Source organism: Homo sapiens, chromosome 1 (assembly GCF_000001405.40).
Source record: "Homo sapiens chromosome 1, GRCh38.p14 Primary Assembly".
Lineage (NCBI taxonomy): Eukaryota > Metazoa > Chordata > Mammalia > Primates > Hominidae > Homo > Homo sapiens.
In genome coordinates this window covers 204,393,158-204,413,472 of record NC_000001.11, presented here as the reverse complement: position 1 = coordinate 204,413,472, position 20,315 = coordinate 204,393,158, and the positions used below count along the sequence as shown (strand labels likewise).

Below are 20,315 nucleotides of genomic sequence, written 5' to 3'. Positions count from 1 at the left end.
AACTAAGACCAAACTCACAAGAGATAATCAAATACAGCAATTAAAATTACCAGCCATTTTTTTTTTCAAAGGATAGTGGTCCATGTTTCCTTTTTGGCTGTTGTATTCTGTGGTTCTGGTTGCTAAGGAAGTATTAATAAATATGAATTGAATATGTTGCCTGCTTGGAAGCATAAAAGAGAGTAAATAGTTCTGGGGACTGAGCTGCTTCTCTGTGAGTTTAGTTTGCCCCACACCAGACATGTATGTACGCAGCACTGCCCAACTTTTACATAAGATCTCAGGTTGATGGTCTACATAGTACTGAACAATAGGAGAACCCTGAAATATCTGTCAGGCTGGGCGCAGTGGCTCACGCCTGTAACCCCAGCACTTTAGGAGGCCGAGGCGGGCAGATCACTTGAGCTGAGTTTGAAACCAACCTGGGCAACACGACGAAACCCTGTCTCTATAAAAATATGCAAAAATTGGCCGAGCACGGTGGCTCACGCCTGTAATCCCAGCACTTTGGGAGGCTGAGGCGGGCGGATCACAAGGTCAGGAGATCGAGACCATCCTAGCCAACATGGTGAAACCCTGTCTCTACTAAAAATACAAAAAATTAACTGGGCGTGGTGGCACACGCCTGTAGTACCAGCTACTAGGGAGGCTGGGGCAGGAGAATCGCTTGAACCCGGGAGGCGGAGGTTGCAGTGAGCCGAGATTGCGCCACTGCACTCCAGCCTGGCGACAGAGTGGGAATCCGTCTCAAAAAAAAAAAAAATTTAGCTGGGCGTGGTGGTGCGAGCCTGTAGTCCCAGCTCCTCGGGAGGCTGAGGTGGGAGGCTCACTGGAGCCCAGGAGGTTGAGGCTGCAGTGAGCCGAGATCGCACTACTGCACTCCAGCCTGGGCGACAGAGCTAGACCCTGTCTCAAATAAATAAATAATAAAAATCTAAGACTACGATAACCCTACAGTTGGCCCGCGGGGCATTCAACCTTCCATGGATTGAAAATATTCGGGAAAAATAAAGATAATAAAACATAATACAAATAAATACAGTATAACAACTAGTTCCATAGCACTTGCATTGTATTAGGTATTATACTTAATCTAGGGGATGGTTTAAATATCTGGGAAGGTGTATGCAGGTTATATGCAAACACTATACCATTTTACATAAGGGACTTGACCGTCTGCGGATTCTGGTGTCTACGGGGTCCTGGAACTAATCCCCATTTCATGAGAGGGGATGACTGTACACACGTCAGTGTGTATTAGGCCATCAAAACGCCTCCGGGAAATTCTCGGGTTATTTTGAAAACCCCTCCCCTCCCCAAGACCTTTAACCTAGAGGGCTGTTGGGGCGGTCTCCTAGGAGACCACACAGAAACGACTGCGCATGCGTGCATTCCCCCCCCCCCCCCCCCCCCCCCCCCCGCCCCGGCTGATGCAACCTCACGCTGCCGTGCGGCTCTACCTCGAGTAAGGAAGCCGACAGGGAAATCTGGCAAAACCAATCGGCGGCCACACGGAAGTGGGCGGAAAGGCCCGCCCCCCGGGGATTTTGCGAGTGACGTTGGGCGGCGCGGCGCTAGGGACGTAGACGCCCAACAGTCCTGCGTCTCTTCCGGCGTCTAGGGGGGTGTCCTGCCGGCGCGCGGGCCCTGCGGCCATTTTGGGCTTCGCTTCCACCGCACCAGCCGGCCTACCCAGTCCTTCCGGTATCGCGTTGCTCAGGGGCTTTTCAACCCTCTGTCAGTCGGAAAACCATCGCCGAGGCCGTGGGGGGACTCCTATCCATGGTGTTGAAGCGTCGAGCCGACTAGGGAACCTCCTTCCCCGCCAGGATGGAAGTCGCATCAGTCGCCGCCTATTGCGCGGGCTGTTCTTCCCTGTGTTCTGCCGCCCGCTGCCGCATTCGCTGCCCTCTGTGGCTTTTCTGCTGGCTCGAAGATCGGCCTGGAGCAGCGACGCCACCGCTGGGCAAGGCCGAGACTCTGTAGGCTTCCTCCGAATCCCGTCGACCTCCAGCCGCTGAGCGCCGCGGCCCTACCTGAGAGACTGTCAAGAAAAAGGAGATGGAGCCGGGGACAGGCGGATCGCGGAAACGGCTTGGCCCTCGGGCGGGCTTCCGGTTCTGGCCACCCTTTTTCCCTCGGCGATCGCAAGCAGGCTCTTCTAAGTTCCCGACGCCTCTTGGCCCGGAAAACTCCGGGAACCCCACACTGCTTTCCTCTGCCCAGCCCGAGACTCGGGTCAGTTACTGGACGAAACTGCTCTCCCAGCTCCTTGCGCCGCTCCCCGGATTGCTTCAGAAGGTGCTAATTTGGAGCCAACTTTTCGGTGGAATGTTTCCGACCAGATGGCTAGATTTTGCTGGAGTCTACAGCGCCCTGAGAGCCCTGAAGGGACGGGAGAAACCAGCCGCCCCCACAGCGCAGAAATCTTTGAGTTCGCTGCAGCTCGACTCCTCAGACCCCTCGGTCACCAGTCCCCTTGATTGGCTAGAGGAGGGGATCCACTGGCAATACTCGCCCCCAGACCTAAAATTGGAGCTTAAGGCCAAGGGAAGTGCTTTGGACCCTGCAGCACAGGCTTTTCTCTTAGAGCAGCAGCTGTGGGGAGTGGAGCTGTTGCCCAGTAGCCTTCAATCCCGTCTGTACTCTAACCGGGAACTTGGCTCTTCGCCCTCTGGGCCTCTAAACATTCAACGCATAGACAATTTCAGTGTGGTATCCTATTTGCTGAACCCTTCCTACCTGGACTGCTTTCCTAGGCTAGAAGTCAGCTATCAGAACAGTGATGGAAATAGCGAGGTAGTCGGCTTCCAGACACTAACCCCAGAGAGCAGCTGCCTGAGAGAGGACCATTGTCATCCCCAGCCGCTGAGTGCAGAACTCATTCCGGCCTCGTGGCAGGGATGTCCACCTCTTTCTACGGAAGGCCTACCAGAAATTCACCATCTTCGCATGAAACGGCTGGAATTCCTTCAACAGGCTAGCAAGGGGCAAGATTTACCCACCCCTGACCAGGATAATGGCTACCACAGCCTGGAGGAGGAACACAGCCTTCTCCGGATGGATCCAAAACACTGCAGAGATAACCCAACACAGTTTGTTCCTGCTGCTGGAGACATTCCTGGAAACACCCAGGAATCCACTGAAGAAAAAATAGAATTATTAACTACAGAGGTTCCACTTGCTTTGGAAGAAGAGAGCCCTTCTGAGGGCTGTCCATCTAGTGAGATACCTATGGAAAAGGAGCCTGGAGAGGGCCGAATAAGTGTAGTTGATTACTCATACCTAGAAGGTGACCTTCCCATTTCTGCCAGACCAGCTTGTAGTAACAAACTGATAGATTATATTTTGGGAGGTGCATCCAGTGACCTGGAAACAAGTTCTGATCCAGAAGGTGAGGATTGGGATGAGGAAGCTGAGGATGATGGTTTTGATAGTGATAGCTCACTGTCAGACTCAGACCTTGAACAAGACCCTGAAGGGCTTCACCTTTGGAACTCTTTCTGCAGTGTAGATCCTTATAATCCCCAGAACTTTACAGCAACAATTCAGACTGCTGCCAGAATTGTTCCTGAAGAGCCTTCTGATTCAGAGAAGGATTTGTCTGGCAAGTCTGATCTAGAGAATTCCTCCCAGTCTGGAAGCCTTCCTGAGACCCCTGAGCATAGTTCTGGGGAGGAAGATGACTGGGAATCTAGTGCAGATGAAGCAGAGAGTCTCAAACTGTGGAACTCATTCTGTAATTCTGATGACCCCTACAACCCTTTAAATTTTAAGGCTCCTTTTCAAACATCAGGGGAAAATGAGAAAGGCTGTCGTGACTCAAAGACCCCATCTGAGTCCATTGTGGCCATTTCTGAGTGTCACACCTTACTTTCTTGTAAGGTGCAGCTGTTGGGGAGCCAAGAAAGTGAATGTCCAGACTCGGTACAGCGTGACGTTCTTTCTGGAGGAAGACACACACATGTCAAAAGAAAAAAGGTTTGTTTCTTGTCTTTTAACATGCCTGATATGTTCTGACTGTTTTTATATGCTTAAATATAGCAGCATGACTTTGGAGGCTTAGGAGTGCATGTATTTTTGAGGAAGGCCTCTAAATTCATATACTTGGATTGAGAAATATGTAAATGACCCTTCTCCTCCTGTCCCTCACCCCCCACCCCAATGCACATTGTTGCTGTCCAAAACGAACATACCAGTGTGTAGATGTTAGCAGGAAAGTGCCATTTTTATTTGGGTTGGTAGTTCTGGACTGTTTCCTTACAAGCTTCAATTTTTCACACTTTTTAACGGACTATTAAACTTTGTGTGTACACGATTTAATTTTTCTAGAGATTGAAAAGGTCCTGTTACAGCCATAGAGTTTTAAAATGATTTTAAATGTATGTTGTCTGCAAATACTTAATATTTTTTTTGCATATAACAAGAGTGTCTTCATTCCTGTCCATTACAACCCAAAGGGATGATGATATCAAGTAGCAAGTCAGATTTATCTGGTCCAATTGGCCATGAAATTAAATAGTAATTTCACTGGTTTTGACATTACATGGTTTTAATTGAAAGTCAAAGCCAGTACAGGAAGTGGTATTGCCTTTTCTTAGGAATGCAATGCTAGTTATCAGTGGTCAGCTACAGGTTAATATTAATAATAAACAGTGATGGCCACTTACTTGGTTTATCTTGACTAGTTGCTTCCTTTTCCCAGGCTAGTCTTAAAACTTCATGCAGCATTTTACGCTTTAATTACATTGTCAGGTTAACCTTATTTTGGGAGTCTTTAGAGTTGGTTTGTTTTTCTTTATAGTTGATTCAACTAAAGTTATTAATTGAACTCTTCTCCAAACTCAAAGGTGTCTATTATTGTAGAGGGAACGTTTTTTTAGTTTTCTATACCGTTACTTGGAGAGAGAAGTTAGTGGGTGAGTTATTATTGACCTCAGATTCTGCCTCACTGGGGCGTTTCAAATGGACAGTACCATAATCTCTTGGCTCCACATGGCCAGCTTACTACTTTGAAATTATTCCTGGGTAGAAAATGTCTCAAAATGGTGATAATCTTACGTCTTACCTTTAGGGCAGAATAAGTCATGTTAAAGATTAAATTTTAGTTCACACTTTGTAAATGCCATCTCTCTTTGTCCTTTTAAGGGGCCCCTGACAAAATGACCTATTTAGAATGAATAGGTAAGAAACAAAGTGGGGCAATGGAATGAGCACTTGGCAGCTGGAGCCCTGTGTTCTCTACTCCTCAGTGGTTAAGGCGCAGAGATTTGGAAGGCAGCCAGACCTGGGAAGTTGCTTGACTCTCATGGCCTCAATTCACTCTTACTTGATGGGTAAAATAATAATATCTATTGTACAAGTTATTGCAAGATTTAAATGAGACAAGTAAATAAAACTCAGAATTTATTGCCTTGCCTTTAAATGCTAGCTCTTATTGAGAGACCTCAGGCCAGTCTCATGTCTTGTTTTAGCTTGCTCGTTGAGTAAAATGAAATGAGTGGAGTAGATGATACTATTGACTATGAACTAGAAGCAGAATTTATAAATGATTATGTCTGAATATGATATAATTATTTGACAGCCTTTGACTACCTGCCATTGGTATATATGGGGAATGGTGTATGGAATATATGGAGTATATAGGATGATGGACAGTGAGTCTAAAAAACCCTTCTACCTCTGTTTTCTTATCGGTATAATGGGGATGATAATAGTCCATACCTCATAGGGTTAATGTGAGGATTAGATGAGATAAAAATGTAAAGCTCTTTAAAAAAAGCCTGGTATATGGTAAACACTGTACGTTTTTATTATTTATCTTAATGACACAATGAATGAGTAGTATTCAAGACTAGAATGCAATAACTAGTAAGGTGTTACATACCTGCTAATTGTCCTCAGGGGCATCCCTTGGCTTGATGTAAAGGGAACGAAAGTAGTAGGCCACATTGGGGTTAGCTGATGTAACTATTAAACATACTTGAAAGCAAGTATTTACTTTTGGAGTTTGATATCTTAGAAAGAAACTTCATTAGAAATTAAGTAGTGATTAGTAATGAGTAGGGATTGTCACTCATTACATGTCATTATGTATATTAGAATCACAATTTCATATATAGTGATAGCATATTGAATACAAAGGTTTTTAAAATCTTAACTACAAAGTTTCTTAGAGTAACACAGCTTTAAAAATACTAATTTTGCTATACTTTGTTTACTAAGTAACTTTTTCTCTTCTGTATTGTTATTGCCAAAGTAATGATACAAAAATAGTACAACATGTTGATTTAAAAGTTGGAAAGTGAAAAAAATTTTTAAAAGGAAAAAGAATAGAAGTAAGCAAAAATATTGTTAAAGCCTTTATGCAGTGATAAAAACAGTGACTTCCAGGGATATAGTGGTTATTTTCAGAAATATTTTGCTTGTCATTTTGAGGGAAAAATATCACAGAACTGTATTTCCCTAAGGATTAAAAAATAGCAGGGGTTAATAACAGCATGAAAAATTCAATTCCCTATCTGGATTCATTTTATTAACACCAAAAGCCAAGGGCTGGTGGGGGATTGGGGGGGGCAGACGACTGTGTGTGTATATTATGCAGATATAGATAAATGAAGTATATATAGATGAAAGATATATATCTCTATATGAAATATTTAGGTGACATTTGTTCACTATTTTATCCAAATGCCATCTAATCTGAACTTTTTTTTTTTTGAGACAGAGTTTTGCTCTTGTTGCACAGGCTAGAGTGTAGTGGCGCGATATTGGCTCACTGCAACCTCCACCTCCCAGGTTCAAACTGTTCTCCTACCTCAGCCTCCTGCGTAGCTGGGATTACAGGCATGTGCCACCACGCCTGGCTAATTTTTTCGTATTTTTACTAGAGACAGGGTTTCACTGTGTTGGTCAGGCTGGTCTTGAACTCCTGACCTCAGGTGATCCGCCTGCTTCCGCCTCCCAAAATGCTGGGATTACAGGCGTGACAGAACTTTTTTTTTAACTTCAAATATAGCTGGGACCAAATATTCCTAATAATAATATGTTATTCTTAGTTGGGAATATTCTGAAAGAATTGGTAGCATAAAGGGTTATTGACCTCAATGCTGATTGTAAGATCCTAGACAGTTATTAAAATTAGTCTTTGTTTTTGTAGGTAACCTTCCTTGAAGAAGTTACTGAGTATTATATAAGTGGTGATGAGGATCGCAAAGGACCATGGGAAGAATTTGCAAGGGATGGATGCAGGTTCCAGAAACGAATTCAAGAAACAGAAGATGCTATTGGATATTGCTTGACATTTGAACACAGAGAAAGAATGTTTAATAGACTCCAGGGAACATGCTTCAAAGGACTTAATGTTCTCAAGCAATGTTGAGTTGGCAGCCTGTAGTCCTAGCTAGCATACACTACCTCTTACCTGAGAGGTGTCTTTTAAAAACAAATCTTGGCAGCTGTCCTTTGACATTTTTTTTTTTAGAGGAAATGTAACTTGGATCTAGTTTAATTTTTTTTTTTGCAACATATCCCACTCAGAAACATTCAGGTTTGAAGCCAGCCCTGATAATGAAGGATGAACTAGTGTGATTTCTAATCCTCCCTTTTTTGATTTAGTTGGATGTGCTTTTAAATGTCCTTTGCCTGCATGAGGTGGAAAGGGGACCTTTTTGAGTTGTCATTTTGCACTTTCAAAACTTATTTTCTTGGAAAACAATATTTATAGGGCTTAAAGCCCATTTTCATTTCTAATCTAAATTATGTGTGCCTATCTGAAAACTTTGGGCTCTTTCTTGTTTCTTTCCCAAAATTCAGAAGTTAATGGGCTTTTATGTTTTTCTATATTTTTTTTATTTCAATGATTTGGCCTGTCTATGTTAGGCTAAAAAATAACCTTGTGTATGCTACCAACTTAAAGTGCATTATTTTGTGTCACTTTTTTTTTTCTTGTAAAAATGACTTGGATTGAAAATATGTGGTAGCCTTTTTATTTCTACATTAAGTTCTACCTAGGATATTTCCAAGGACTGCCACAAAACCCATATGTGCAGTACTTTACTACTTTGGGAAAGCTGCATCTTTCTACCACATTTTAACATCTAATATATTTAATTTCTTTGAAGAGGGTTCTGTGTACGTTATTGTAGTTCCCAGTTTAATATAGTTCTTTGTATCTCTTAACAGGTTGAAGTTATTGCAAAACACTCTGGAAAGTAATAATTACATCATAATCATTTATTTTTTAAACTTAAAAGCCTAGAAATTTCCTAGAAAGAAAATAGGAGACATCTCAGAGCAATTTGGTTTTGGTGTATATGTTCTCAACAGAAAACCAGTGTTAATGAATATCATGCCTCAGCACTGTCACTTTTAAAACCTGTCAGGATCCCACTGTAAAATTGGAAATGGGCAGTTCTGAATTTTCACGTTTGAAATGTAAAATATAAACTTCAGTCAATATCCAGGTTTATTGTGTCCTACTATTTAATAATGAGAGAAGTAATGGCAAGGCCTTTACTTTCAGGAAAGGATAGAAGTATAGATTAATGACTGGAAAGTTTTAATATATTTAGCCCAAAGGTTACTTTGAATTGAAGTCTTTGCATTGACTGTTTGTGTTTGGTTTATTTGTTTAGCTTTACAAGGTACACATAAGTTAGGTTGAGGGGTTGTTAACCCTTCCGTGGTCTGCTTTCATTCCGTGTGCTTCCTGTCACAGGTAATGGAAAACATAAGTAGAATAGGTGACCTCTTAGTTTTGAACTTATTTAAGTGTGGGGATGAATTTTTCATCAGAAGTGCTTACAGGGTTACTACCTCAGTTTACAATCTACCTGGTCATTATTTTATTTCTATCCAGTTCTAAGAACTGCCTCCACTGTTTATATATTCATAATTAAACACATTGAGAATGCAACACTATAAAAGCTGGTCAAATTTTTGCAGAGCCCTTATTCTGTGTGTTTTTTGTTTTTTTCTTTTTTTTTTGAGACAGAGTCTCGTTCGGTCCCCCAGCTTGGAGTGCAGTGGCGCGATCTCGGCTCACTGCAACCTCCGCCTCCTGGGTTCACGCGATTCTCCTGCCTCAGCCTCCCGAGTAGCTGGGATTACAGGCACACACCACCACGCCCGGCTAATTTTTTGTGTCTTTTTAGTAGAGACGGGGTTTCGCTATGTTGGCCAGACTGGTCTTGAACTGCTGACCTCGTGATCCGCCCGCCTCGGCCTCTCAAAGTGCTGGGATTCTGTGTGTTTTGTGCACCTCCACTTTAGGTAATCATAGGGAGCACATTTACAGGATGGTCTAATAACATGAAAACAGGCTAGTTTCAAGCAACAGCAATGTCGGTTGGAAAGCAGGCGTCATTTGCCTTGAAAAAAGCCTTTTGACAACATACAGGCATTCTTTTAAAACCAGGCTGAAACATTTTATTTCCGAGACTTAACGTTGTGTTTCCTGTTTCTTAAACCTAGCACCTCTGTGTATTTGAAAATAATGAGACATCTTTCATTGGATTTTGGAAAATTGTTCCCCATGGGATTCTAACCTCACTACCAAATGAGTGAAAGCTTGATTAAGAGTTCTTCCATATACTAGCCTCCTTGGAAGAAGTGATCAGAAGGTGATAAGAAGGACAGAAAGGACTATTTTAAAGTTGGACTGAAGGAGAAAAAAGCAAAATTCTTGTTTCATCCCAATTCTAGTTAGAACAAAGTTAAACCCCCGTAATCTTAAAGAGAAAATCTTTGGAGGTTTTAATTAAACATTTTATACATTTAAAGTCTTGTTAATGGTGCTTTAAGTGTCAATGTAGCATGTAAAAGGCTTTGTACAGACAGGTAAAAGTTCCATTTCTGAGTGATGAAATGTAACACTTCTTCATCTTTAACTTGAAATCAAAACTATCAGATTTTATTTTTGTATAATTTAAGGAAGGTAAAGTTAGGGGACTAGAAGACTCTAAATTGGCTTCTACAGATCAATAATTTAAATGTAACTAGTTGGGATTTTATAGTTAAAATTATATTTGTGTATATAACATAACTAATCTGTAAATTGTAATAAATATATTTGCAATTATTAAATGTTAAGTGATATTTTGGTTCAACTTTATATTATATGTATCATAGTATTTTACAATGGTTTTGGAATTACTAAGCAGGATTAGTATAATTGCAAACAACATTTTAGTAATAGAAGAACTTGGTTCTTGCAGTATTATGAGAGGCCCTTCTAAGAAACTGAAGATTTGATTCTGAAATTGGCCCTAGCTTTTCAGTTTTGCTGCAAAGAAAATTAAACTGGGTATTCACAGAAGCAATAACATTCAGATGCTGGGCTTAGCCTAGTGCTTAAGTAGCAGGGAAATCTCTGTTTTGTGCATTATTATTATTATTATTTTTTGAGACGGAGCCTCTGTCACCCAGGCTGCATTGAAGTGGCACGATCTCAGCTCACTGCAACCTCCACCTTCCGGTTTCAAGCGATTCTCCTGCCTCAGCCTCCCGAGTAGCTGGGATCACAGGCACCTGCCACCATGCCCGGCTAAATTTTGTATTTTTAGTAGAGATGGGGTTTCATCATGTTGGCCAGGTTGTTCTCGATCTCCTGACCTCGTGACCCTCCTGCCTCGGCCTCCCAAAGTGCTGGGATTACAGGCGTGAGCCACCGTGTCTGGCTATTTTGTGTGTTACTAATCACGATAATCATGGTATTGTAAAATCATGATGATCTCTCATTTACAAAAGTGGGCCAGGTATGGTGGCTCACGCCTGTAATTCCAGCACTTCGGGAGGCTGAGGTGGGAGGATTGCTTGAGGCCTGGAGTTCAAGACCAGCCTGAGCAACATAGTGAGACACTTTCCTCTACAAAAAAAAACAAAAAAACTGGCCCATGGTGGCGCACACCTGTGGTCCTAGCCTATAGACCCAGTTACTGGGGAGGCTGAGACAGGAGGGTTGCTTGAGCACAGAAGTTCAAGCCTGCAGTGAGCTGTGATTCCACCATTGTACTCCAGCCTGGGTGATAGACTCTGTCTCAAAAAATAAAGTCAGATGGAATCATGCTTTAATACTAGATATATGGATCATTGAGACTGTCTCAAAAGAATAAATGTTATCAGAAAAAAATTTTTACTCCGAAAAAGAAAGCATTTGGGTTATGGCAACCCTATTAATGGATGAAAGAATAATAGCACTCTTAATTCAGGCACTTTCAAGATGAAAGGATAATGAAGAAAAGTTATTAAGATATATTTCTGAACTGGAAGGAAAGAAACTAACATTTAGTTGCAGTTAAACAATATTTAGTACAAACTGAGTTGACATCCCCGGGTTATAATTTTATTTCTATCTTGGGGTTAATTGAAGCATGTCTGCCATTCCCCAGTAATATATGTGAAAATGGCTACATTTACATTAAGCCAGATTTATTGCTATGCTTATCCTGATATTTCATAGAAATTGTGTTATTTTTCTTTTGTACTTTAGTAGAAAGTTAAAAGCAAATATTTAATTGCTGACCTCAGAATTTCTTGTTTTTTTGAGATGGTCTTGCTCTGTCCTCCAGGCTGCAGTGCATTGGTGCGATCTTGGCTCACTGTAGCCTCAACAGCCTCAACCTCCCAGGCTCAAGCGATTCTCCCACCTCAGCCTTCTGAGTAGCTGGGACTCCAGGTGCACACCACCGCACTCAGCTAATTTTTCTGTTTTTTGTAGAGATGGGGTTTTGCCATGTTGTCCAGGCTGAGACCTCAGAAATTTAGATAGTTACTCAGATTTGGGAATTTGGTGTTCTCTGGCATATTGTCATTTGGAGACTTCATTTGGACTCTATTCTCTGTACCTTTTTAAAATAAAAATGGGAAATTTTCATTTTTTTCTCATAATGCACGTTGTTTATAAAAGCATCTAATACAGAGATGTACAAAGACATTTTTGGTACATTAAAAAATAATGCTTCCCAGGGTACCTTTCTGAGCTGAGAGACTTAATTTCCTTTTATCTGTAAAAAGAGGTTTTGAGAGTTATTTAATGATACACAGGTTAGCTATTTGGAATCTTTCCTTATGAACTTAGTTGAATGTTTTGTGATCAACACAAAACACCAATCTTTTCCTTCCTGGATGTGCTCCAGCGAGACTTAAGTCTGTGTTGGCAGCATGCTATTGAGATCTATAATAATCGGTATCATAAAGAGGATACGTAAATCTCTTCTAACCCTGCTGACTTTGAGGATTCATCAAGCAGGACCTATGATGCTTTCAACCAATATGTTTCAGTGACAGGTTTGACATCAGGGAATTTAAAGAGAACTAACTCATTCTACACATGGAACGGAGAAGGCAGTTGAGAGTAGGAGTTATGTATTACCATGTAAGCAATTTGAGTTACATCAGTGTTTCACCACTGGCAGACGCCTTAATCTTATCAGAGAGAGACAGGGGAAACTAGGTTTGTGGAAAGTAGGTTGCTTGACCCATGGGGAGGATACCCTAGAGATCTAATGAGCCTGAGAGCCGCAAGGCCTGGAAAGCTGTACAACAAGGGAAGCAGCTTTGGAACAATTTTTCAGGTTTTGTTCTTGTAATCTTTTATACTTCCCCCTTTATCTCAGTAATATCCTTTATGTTTCCTCCTGCCTTTATTTGCTGAATATTTTATTTTCACTACTGTTTTATAGATCCCTACCAAGAAGAAGGATGAAGAACTTAATAGCAAAAGAAGAGCACAATTGCCAGAGATGCGAGAAGAAAGGACCTCACACGGTTCTTGACTTTTCTACAGAGCTCACTGCACATTTTCCCACTAAAATGTTGGGTAAATATTTATACTTAAGATTGGATTGGCCAGGGGTGGTGGCTCATGCCTGTAATCCCAGCACTTTGGGAGGCCAAGGTGGGAGGATCTCTTGAGCCCAGGAGTTCAAGACCAGTGTGGGCAACATGGCAAAACCATCTCTACAAAAAATACAAAAAAAAAAAAAGAAAAAGAAATTAGCTGGGCAAGGTAGTGCATGCCTGTAGTCCCACCTACTTGGGAGGCTGAGTTGGGAGCTGTGATTGAATCACTGCACTGCAGCCTGCACGACAAAGTGAGACCCTGTCTCAAAAATGTTGAAAATAAAAAAGATGGATTAACTTTCAGAAACATTCCAAGGATATTCAGGGTCAAAGAAAGAGGTGATAGTAAATGCTGCTTTGAGTTAAGCCTTCTTTTCTTTTTTTTTTTTTTTTGAGACAGTGTCTCACTGTCACCCAGGCTCTGAAGTACAGTGGCATGATCACAGCTCACTGCAGCCTCGACTTCCCAGGCTTAGGCAATCCTCCTATCTCAGCCTCTCGAGTAGCTGGGACCATAGGTGTGCACCACTTTGCTCACCTATTTTTTGTAGAGACAGGGTCTCACTATGTTGCCCGGGCTGGTCTCAAACTACTGAACTCAAGCAAGTAGCCCACCTTGGCCTCCCAAAGTGCTGGGATTACAGGCATGAGTCGTCAGGTCCAGCCATACCTCCTTTTCTTAATGGGCTCTGAAGGCAAAAACCAGAGGAGTCCCAGGGGTTTTGAAAAAGACTTATCTGGATATATGTTCTGAAGTGGGTGTTTTTAAGACCGCATTTTATCATGAAAGACTAGTTCCTCTTTGGATCTCAAATAATCACCTCAAAGAGCCCTCTGATCACTCTATCCCCCAACCCCTCCTTTTTCTCTCACAGTACCTTTTAAAATTATGTTCACTCTGCCCTCATCTTGTTAACATTTTTACTTGTTTCTCATCTACCACCACCCTCACTAGTCTGTAAACTCCATGAGAACAGGGATCTTGTCGTTTATGAGTCCAGAGCCTAGAACTGTGTCTGGTATGCTATAGTCAATAAATATTTGTTGAATAACAACTTTTTTTTTTTTTTTTGAGACAGGGTTCCACTCCCATCACCCAGACTGGAGTGCAATGGTGCAATCTTGGTGCTGAACCTCCGCCTCCCAGGCTCCAGCGATTCTCCTGCCTTAGCCTCCTAAGTAGCTGGGACTACAGGCAGATGCCATCACACCCAGCTAACTTTAATTTTTTTGTAGAGATGGGGTTTCACCATGTTGCCCAGGCTGGTCTCGAACTCTTGGGCTCATGAGCTGCCTGCCTTGGCCTCCCAAAATGCTGGGATTATAGGCGTGAGCCACCACGCCTGGACTCTTTTTTTTAATATATATAAATAGAGATGGGGTCTGGCTATGTTGCCCATATAGCAACTCCTGGCCTCAAGCAGTCCTCCTGCCTTGGCCTCCCAAAGTGCTGGGATTACATGTGTGAGCCACTGGGCCTGGCCAAGTTAATAGCTTTCCCAAAGTCACCTCTCTTATCAGCTTTATTGAAGTTTCATCCACACAGCCTTGTCTGACCAGAAACAAGTGTGCCACAATCATCAGATGATGTAGAATCACAGAATTTAAATGTCCTTAGAGAAAAGCTACCGTAAGCTTTAACTAAATTTGTAGAAAGTAATTACAAATTTCAATTTGGCTAGGTATACCACATCCATTAATTCTAGTGTCATTATTAATATAAGACACATTGTTAATTTATGAATTTAATATGCGAGCAAATCAACTGAGACCCTCCTTTCCCAGAATTAATAGGCTGCATTGGAGTACCAGAGTATTCTTGCCACCACACCAGGGGTTTTAGCTCTTTGGCAGAAGATTGGCTTTGGGTTTCTAGTGATGCTCTGTTGTCTCCACCAGATGGCGTTATCTTCCATCTGGGAGTGCCTGATGGACACCTGTTATTACAGATCTGGTTGCTATTGCTCCCCTGGAGGTGGGTCCCTCAATGTGTAAACAAGCTGGAAAACTGCCCTGCCCTGCCCATTCCAGGCCTGCCTGGCCCAGTGTGACTCCACCTTTTTGTGGTAATTACCCAGAAGTAGGGGCTCTTTCTTATAGGAGAACCAAGATTTGTATTTGAACACAAACAAAGGAACTGATTTTTTTTTTGAGTCTTGCTGTCGCCCAGGCCTAGGCTGGAGTACAGTGGCACGGTCATAGCTCACTGCAGCCTCCAACTTTTGGGCTTAAACAATCCTCCCACCTCAGCCTCCCAAGTAGCTAGGACCACAGGCATGCACCACATTGCCTGGCTAATTTTATTATTTTTGTGTGTAGAGATGGGGTCTAATTATATTGCCTAGGCTGGTCTCAAACTCCTGGCTTCAAGAGATCCTACTGCCTGGGGCTCCCAAAGTGTCGCGATTACAGGCATGAGCCACCTCACTTGGCCCTTGTATACTTTTTTATCACTGTTCAAGTCACATTGAATTTTAATTGTGATTTGCTCTTTCCTTTCTTCCTCTGTGGTGGAAGGGTCTGCGCAGTGACCAGAGTATTTTAGACACATGATACACTTTTCTTTAACTCAAGTGGTAATTTCCATAGCCTCTTTTTTCCAACACACAGGCTCCCTCCCGACATAACAAGTAATTTATGAATTCATTTCAAAGAAGCAATTTTGTATGTGAAAAGGTCTATCTTCAATGTTTACATTATTTTGTATTTGTAGTATTTGATTTTTTTTTTTTTGAAAAGCTAGCATTATTAGTGATGACCTGAAACCCAAAGTTTTAAATCAGTTGATGTAAGGTCGTCATGACTACTCTTTCCAGTGGTAGCCTAAGGTTCGCTGAAACATTGTCATCGTTATGAAAGGCACTTCATTATGCAGGATACCATTCATATCCAGTTTTCTAAGATGGTTGAGGACATTGTTTTTTAAACTTTTCTGTTTTTTAAATTGACAAAAATTGTATATGTTTACTGTCTACAACATGATGTTTTGAAATATGTGTACATTGTGGAATGGTAAGTCAAGCTAATTAACATGTATTACCTCACATACTTAGCATTTTTTTTGTGGTAAGAACCCTTAAAATCTACTCTTAGCAATTTCCTTTTTCTATTTATTTATTTATTTGAGACAAGCTGGAGTGCAGTGGTGCAATTTCGCCTCACTGTAACCTCCGCGTCCTGGGCTCAAGCAATTCTCATGTCTCAGCCTCCCAAGTAGCTGGGACTACAGGCGCGTGCCACCACACCCGGCTAATTTTTTGTATTTTAGTAGAGACAGGTTTCACCCCATGTTGCCCAGGGTGGTCTCGTACTCCTGAGCTCAGGTGATCTGCCTGCCTTGGCCTTCCAAAGTGCTGGGATTACAGGCGTGAGCCATCACGCCTGGGCTTTTTATTTATTTATTTTATTTTATTTTATTATTTATTTATGTATTTATTTATTTTGAGACAGAACCTTGCTCTGTTGCCAAGCTGGAGTGCAGTGGCATGATCATGGCTTTCTTCAGCCTCAACCTCCTGGGCTCAGGCAATCCTCTTGCCTCAGTTTCCCGAGTAGCTGGGACCACAGGCTCACACCACCACAACAGGCTAATTTTTAAGTTATCTGTAGGGGCGAGATCTCCCTATATTGCCCAGGCTGGTCTTGAAGTCCTAGGCTTAAGTGTTCCTCCTGCCTCCCAAAGTGTTGAGATTACAGGTGTGAGCCACCTCACCTGGCCAATTTGCAAGAATATAATACATTGTTATTGACTATGGTCACCATGTCGTACAGTAGATCTCTTGAACTTATTCCTCCTCACTGAAAGTTTGTATCCTTTGAGCAACGTCTCCCCAACCCACTTCTTGTTTTTTATTAACTTATTAAAGTATAATTTACAATAAGTTTCACTCATTTTAAGTATGAATTCAATGAGTTTTGATAAACACGTGTAGTCATATAAACACCACCACTATCAAAATATGGATCATTTCCATCACCCAGAAAGTTCCCTTATGTTCTTTTGTATTCGGTCCCCTTCCCAACCTCCAGCTTTTGGCAGCCATTGCTTTTCTTTTCTTTGTCTTTTTTTTTTTTTTTGACAGACAGGGTCTTACTGTCACCCAGGCTGGAGTGTAGTGGTGTGATCACGGCTCACTGCAGCCTTATCTCCCTGGGTTCAGGTGATCCTCCCACCTCAGCCTCCTGAGTAGCTGGGACTACAGCTGTGTGCGACCACACCCAGCTGGTTTTTTGTTTTTTTTTTTTTGTTTTTGTTTTTGCTTTTTTTTTTTTTTTTGTATTTTTAGTAGAGATAAGGTTTTGGCATGTTGCCCAGGCTAGTCTTGAACTTCTGGGCTCAAGAGATCTGCCTGTTTTGGCCTCCCAACATGCTGGGATTGCAGGTGTGAGCCACCACGTCTGGCCTTTGATCTGCTTTCAACACTTTTAGCTCTTCTAGAATTTCAGAAAAATGGTATCGGATGTACAGCATGGACCCTTCTGTGGTGGGCTTCTTTACTGTAATGCTTTTGAGATTCATCTGTGCTGTTGAGTGTCTCTGCAGTCCATTCCTTCTGTTGAGTGTATCAGTAGTCCATTCCTTTTCATGGCTGAGTAGTATTTCATTGTATAATTATACCACTATTTGTTCATTTACTAGATAATAAACAGTTGGCTTGTTTAAGTATGAATTCAATGAGTTTTGATAAATATGTGTAGTTATATAAACATGACTACATATATAAACATATAAACATATACATATATAAGCACATATAAATTTGTGTCTATTATGAATAAAGCTTCTATGAACTGTTGAGTACAAGCGTTTGAGTGGACATATGATTTCATTGCTTTTTGATAAATCCAGGAGTGAGACTGCTGGATCATATGGTAAGTATATATCTAATTATATAAGAAACTCCCAAACAGTTTTCCAAAGTGGCTATACTACTTGGCAGCAGCGTATGAGCTCCAGTTGCTCCACATCCTTGCCAACACTTGATATTGTAAGTCTTTTTAAGTTTAGCTATTCTAGTGGCATCTTATTTTGGTGTAAATTTGCATTTCCTTGGTGTTTAATGATATGGAGCATCTTTCCACATGTTTATTTGCATTGATAAATACCTTCTTCAGTCAAGTGTCTGTTCAAATCTTTTGTCCTTTTTTTTAAGCCAAATTGTTAGTATTTATATGGATTTGTGTATGTGTGTGTGTCTTTAAAAACATATTCTAGATATAAGTCCTTTATATTTTGCAAATATTTCTCCCAGTCTGTGGCTTGCCTTTTTATTTTTTAAATTATGTAATTTGGGGAGCAGAATTTTTTTAATTTTGCAGAAGTTCAGTTTATCAATTTTTTCTTCTATGGTCCATGCTTTTCCAAAGGTCTTAGAAGTTTTTCCCTAACAAAGTCATGAATATTTTTGTTTATGTTTACTTCTAGAAGTTTTGTAGTTTTAGCTCTGACATTTAAGTCTTGTCATTCACTCTGAGTTAACCTTTGTATGTGTTATGAGGGCAAGGGTTAAGCTTCATATTTTTGCACATGGATATTCAATTGTTGAAAAGACTATCCTTTCTCCATTGAGTAATTTTGACATATTTTTCAAATTTCAGTTGACCATGTAGATGGATCTATTTCTGGACCCTGTATTCTGTTTCATTGATCTGTATCTCTGTGCTTACATAAATACCACACTGCCTTGATTACTGTAACTTTATAGTGAGTCTTGAAATTACTTTGTTCTTTTTCAAAATGGTTTTTGTTACTCCAGGCCCTTTGCTTTTTTTTTTTTTGAAAAACAAATCTTTATTGTCTAGAAATACATATTTAAAAAATCCTCTTCAAAAGATGCTATTCACTCATTTCCCCATTTCCTCTTCTTCCACATCTCTGATATAAAGGACATTATTACACCTTATTAAAACTTCACCTAGATGTCCAGGCAATGCCTCATTTATGAATTCTGTATCTGCAAGCTGCATGTTCATATAGCCATCTACAGATACCAGGTAGCCCTTATACTCCATTCCCACTTAAGCTTCACCATCACTGGCTCTCCTGTTAATCCACTGAGGAAATATTTGAGATTGAGGGGTAAACTCATTGTAACTAAAGGGAATGTTGCGGGCTATTTGCCACCGACCTAGCTGCTACTCTCCTGTCCCTCCTAACTCAGCAGATACTGCAGGTCCAGAACCACTGAGCTTTAAGAGAAATGGCTGCCAAATAGGAGTGTCACCCTTTGCATTTCTATTTGAATTTCAGGACTAGCTTATTAATTCTTACCAAAAAAAATGCGGGGCAGGTGGGGGGTGCTGGTTGGGCATTGAATGGAATTACACTGACTGTATGGATTGATTTAGGAAGAGTTGACATCTTAACAATATTGAGTCCTTTGATCCATAAACACACTATATTTCTCCATTTATTTGAGTCTTTTTAAGTTTCTCTCAAGTGTTTTGTAGTATTCAATATATTGATCTTGTACATATTTTGTTACATTATCCCTAAATATTTCCTTTTTGAGATACTATTATAAATTGTACTTTTTTCATTTCAATTTCCACTTCTTTGCTAGTAATATAGAAATACAATTTATTTTTCTATATTAACTCTGTGTCTTGTGACCTTTGAATATTTTACATAGATGATCATGTCTTAGAATAAAAATGACTTCGCTTCCTTCTTTCTCATCTGTATGCCTTTTATTTATGTTTTTCTTGCTTTATTGTACCAGCTAGTATAACAAGTACAAAGGCAAGTAGAAGTGGTCAGAGGAGGAATCCTTGCCTTGTCTTTAGGATCAGTGATGTCTTCTTTTTCATTCCTGATCTTGGTAATTTATGTCGTCTTCTCTCTCTCTCTTTTTTTGCTTATCAGTCTGGCTAGAGGTTTATTAATTTTATTGATCTTTTTAAAGAACCAGCTTTTGGTTTCATTGATTGTTTTCCAATTGTTTTTTGTTTTGCTTTGTTTTGTCCATTGATTTCTGATCTGTAGTGCATTTTCTTTCTTCTCCTTTTTTGGGGTTCAATTTGTTCTTTTTCTAATTCTTAAGGTGGCACTTAGACCACTGATTCAAGACCTTTCTTTTCTTCTAATATAAATATCTAATGCTAAAAGGTTCCCTATAGGCATCATTAGCTGCTTCTCACATATGTTTATATGTTGTGTTTTCATTTTCATTCAGTTCAAGCTATTTTCTAATTTCCTGTGTGATTTCTTCGACCTATGGTTATTGGAATTGTGTCATTTTGGCCAGGCACAGTTGCTCACACCTGTAATCCCAGCACTTTGGGAGGCCGAGGCGGGAGGATCACTTGAGCCCAGGAGCTCGAGACCAGCCTGGGCAAAATAGGGAGACCCTGTCTCTGCAGAAAAGCAAACAAACAAAACAACAACAACAACAATAACAACAAAAAACGTGGACATGGTGGCACACATTTGTGGTCCTAGCTATTCAGGAGACTGAGATAGAAGGATTTCT

The 20,315-nt window shown here is 40.9% G+C and overlaps 1 protein-coding gene and 1 pseudogene across 3 annotated transcripts, besides 6 other annotated features; one reads left to right on the top strand and one right to left on the bottom strand.

The window, feature by feature from the left end:
- Positions 1,369 to 1,418: an enhancer, noted in NCBI's record as "active region_2363". NCBI's record gives its function as "activates an Ori minimal core promoter by ATAC-STARR-seq in GM12878 lymphoblastoid cells {active_cell/tissue: GM12878}" and the evidence as "EXISTENCE:reporter gene assay evidence [ECO:0000049][PMID:35858748]".
- Positions 1,429 to 2,128: an enhancer, noted in NCBI's record as "active region_2362". NCBI's record gives its function as "activates an Ori minimal core promoter by ATAC-STARR-seq in GM12878 lymphoblastoid cells {active_cell/tissue: GM12878}" and the evidence as "EXISTENCE:reporter gene assay evidence [ECO:0000049][PMID:35858748]".
- Positions 1,429 to 2,679: a biological region, named in NCBI's record as "NANOG-H3K27ac-H3K4me1 hESC enhancer GRCh37_chr1:204379922-204380756".
- Positions 1,464 to 1,910: a silencer, noted in NCBI's record as "fragment chr1:204380691-204381137 (GRCh37/hg19 assembly coordinates)". NCBI's record gives its function as "represses an EF-1alpha promoter that drives an FKBP-Casp9 reporter gene in an ReSE screen in phorbol 12-myristate 13-acetate-treated (for megakaryocytic differentiation) K562 erythroleukemia cells {active_cell/tissue: K562(+PMA)}" and the evidence as "EXISTENCE:reporter gene assay evidence [ECO:0000049][PMID:32094911]".
- Positions 1,656 to 17,647, top strand: PPP1R15B (protein phosphatase 1 regulatory subunit 15B). 3 transcript variants are annotated; one of them, XM_005245551.6, is made up of 3 exons: positions 1,656 to 3,981; positions 12,684 to 12,820; positions 13,923 to 17,647. In XM_005245551.6, the coding sequence occupies exons 1-2, from the start codon at positions 2,062 to 2,064 to the stop codon at positions 12,774 to 12,776; spliced, it is 2,013 nt and encodes a 670-aa protein (XP_005245608.2). In that variant the 5' UTR covers positions 1,656 to 2,061; the 3' UTR covers positions 12,777 to 12,820; positions 13,923 to 17,647. The 3 variants fall into 3 exon arrangements, with proteins under 3 accessions (XP_005245608.2, XP_047288474.1, NP_116222.4); XM_047432518.1 differs by having other exon boundaries at positions 13,919 to 17,647; NM_032833.5 differs by lacking the exons at positions 12,684 to 12,820; positions 13,923 to 17,647 and adding an exon at positions 7,160 to 10,092.
- Positions 1,845 to 2,679: an enhancer, noted in NCBI's record as "NANOG-H3K27ac-H3K4me1 hESC enhancer chr1:204379922-204380756 (GRCh37/hg19 assembly coordinates)". NCBI's record gives its function as "activates a minimal SCP1, AML or CMV promoter by ChIP-STARR-seq in naive and primed H9 embryonic stem cells {active_cell/tissue: H9 hESC(naive and primed)}" and the evidence as "EXISTENCE:reporter gene assay evidence [ECO:0000049][PMID:30033119]".
- Positions 2,389 to 2,538: an enhancer, noted in NCBI's record as "active region_2361". NCBI's record gives its function as "activates an Ori minimal core promoter by ATAC-STARR-seq in GM12878 lymphoblastoid cells {active_cell/tissue: GM12878}" and the evidence as "EXISTENCE:reporter gene assay evidence [ECO:0000049][PMID:35858748]".
- A 952-nt stretch (positions 17,648 to 18,599) lies between the features above and the next one.
- On the bottom strand, positions 18,600 to 19,349 carry LOC124904489 (small nuclear ribonucleoprotein F-like; annotated as a pseudogene).
- Between the last annotated feature and the right edge of the window lie 966 nt (positions 19,350 to 20,315).

Bases quoted from the DNA above. Each gene is read 5' to 3' on its own strand.
- PPP1R15B (NM_032833.5), top strand. From the start codon at position 2,062: ATGGAGCCGGGGACAGGCGGATCGCGGAAACGGCTTGGCCCTCGGGCG. The intron at 3,982-7,159 runs GTTTGTTTCTTG...TTGTTTTTGTAG, and splicing joins CACATGTCAAAAGAAAAAAG to GTAACCTTCCTTGAAGAAGT.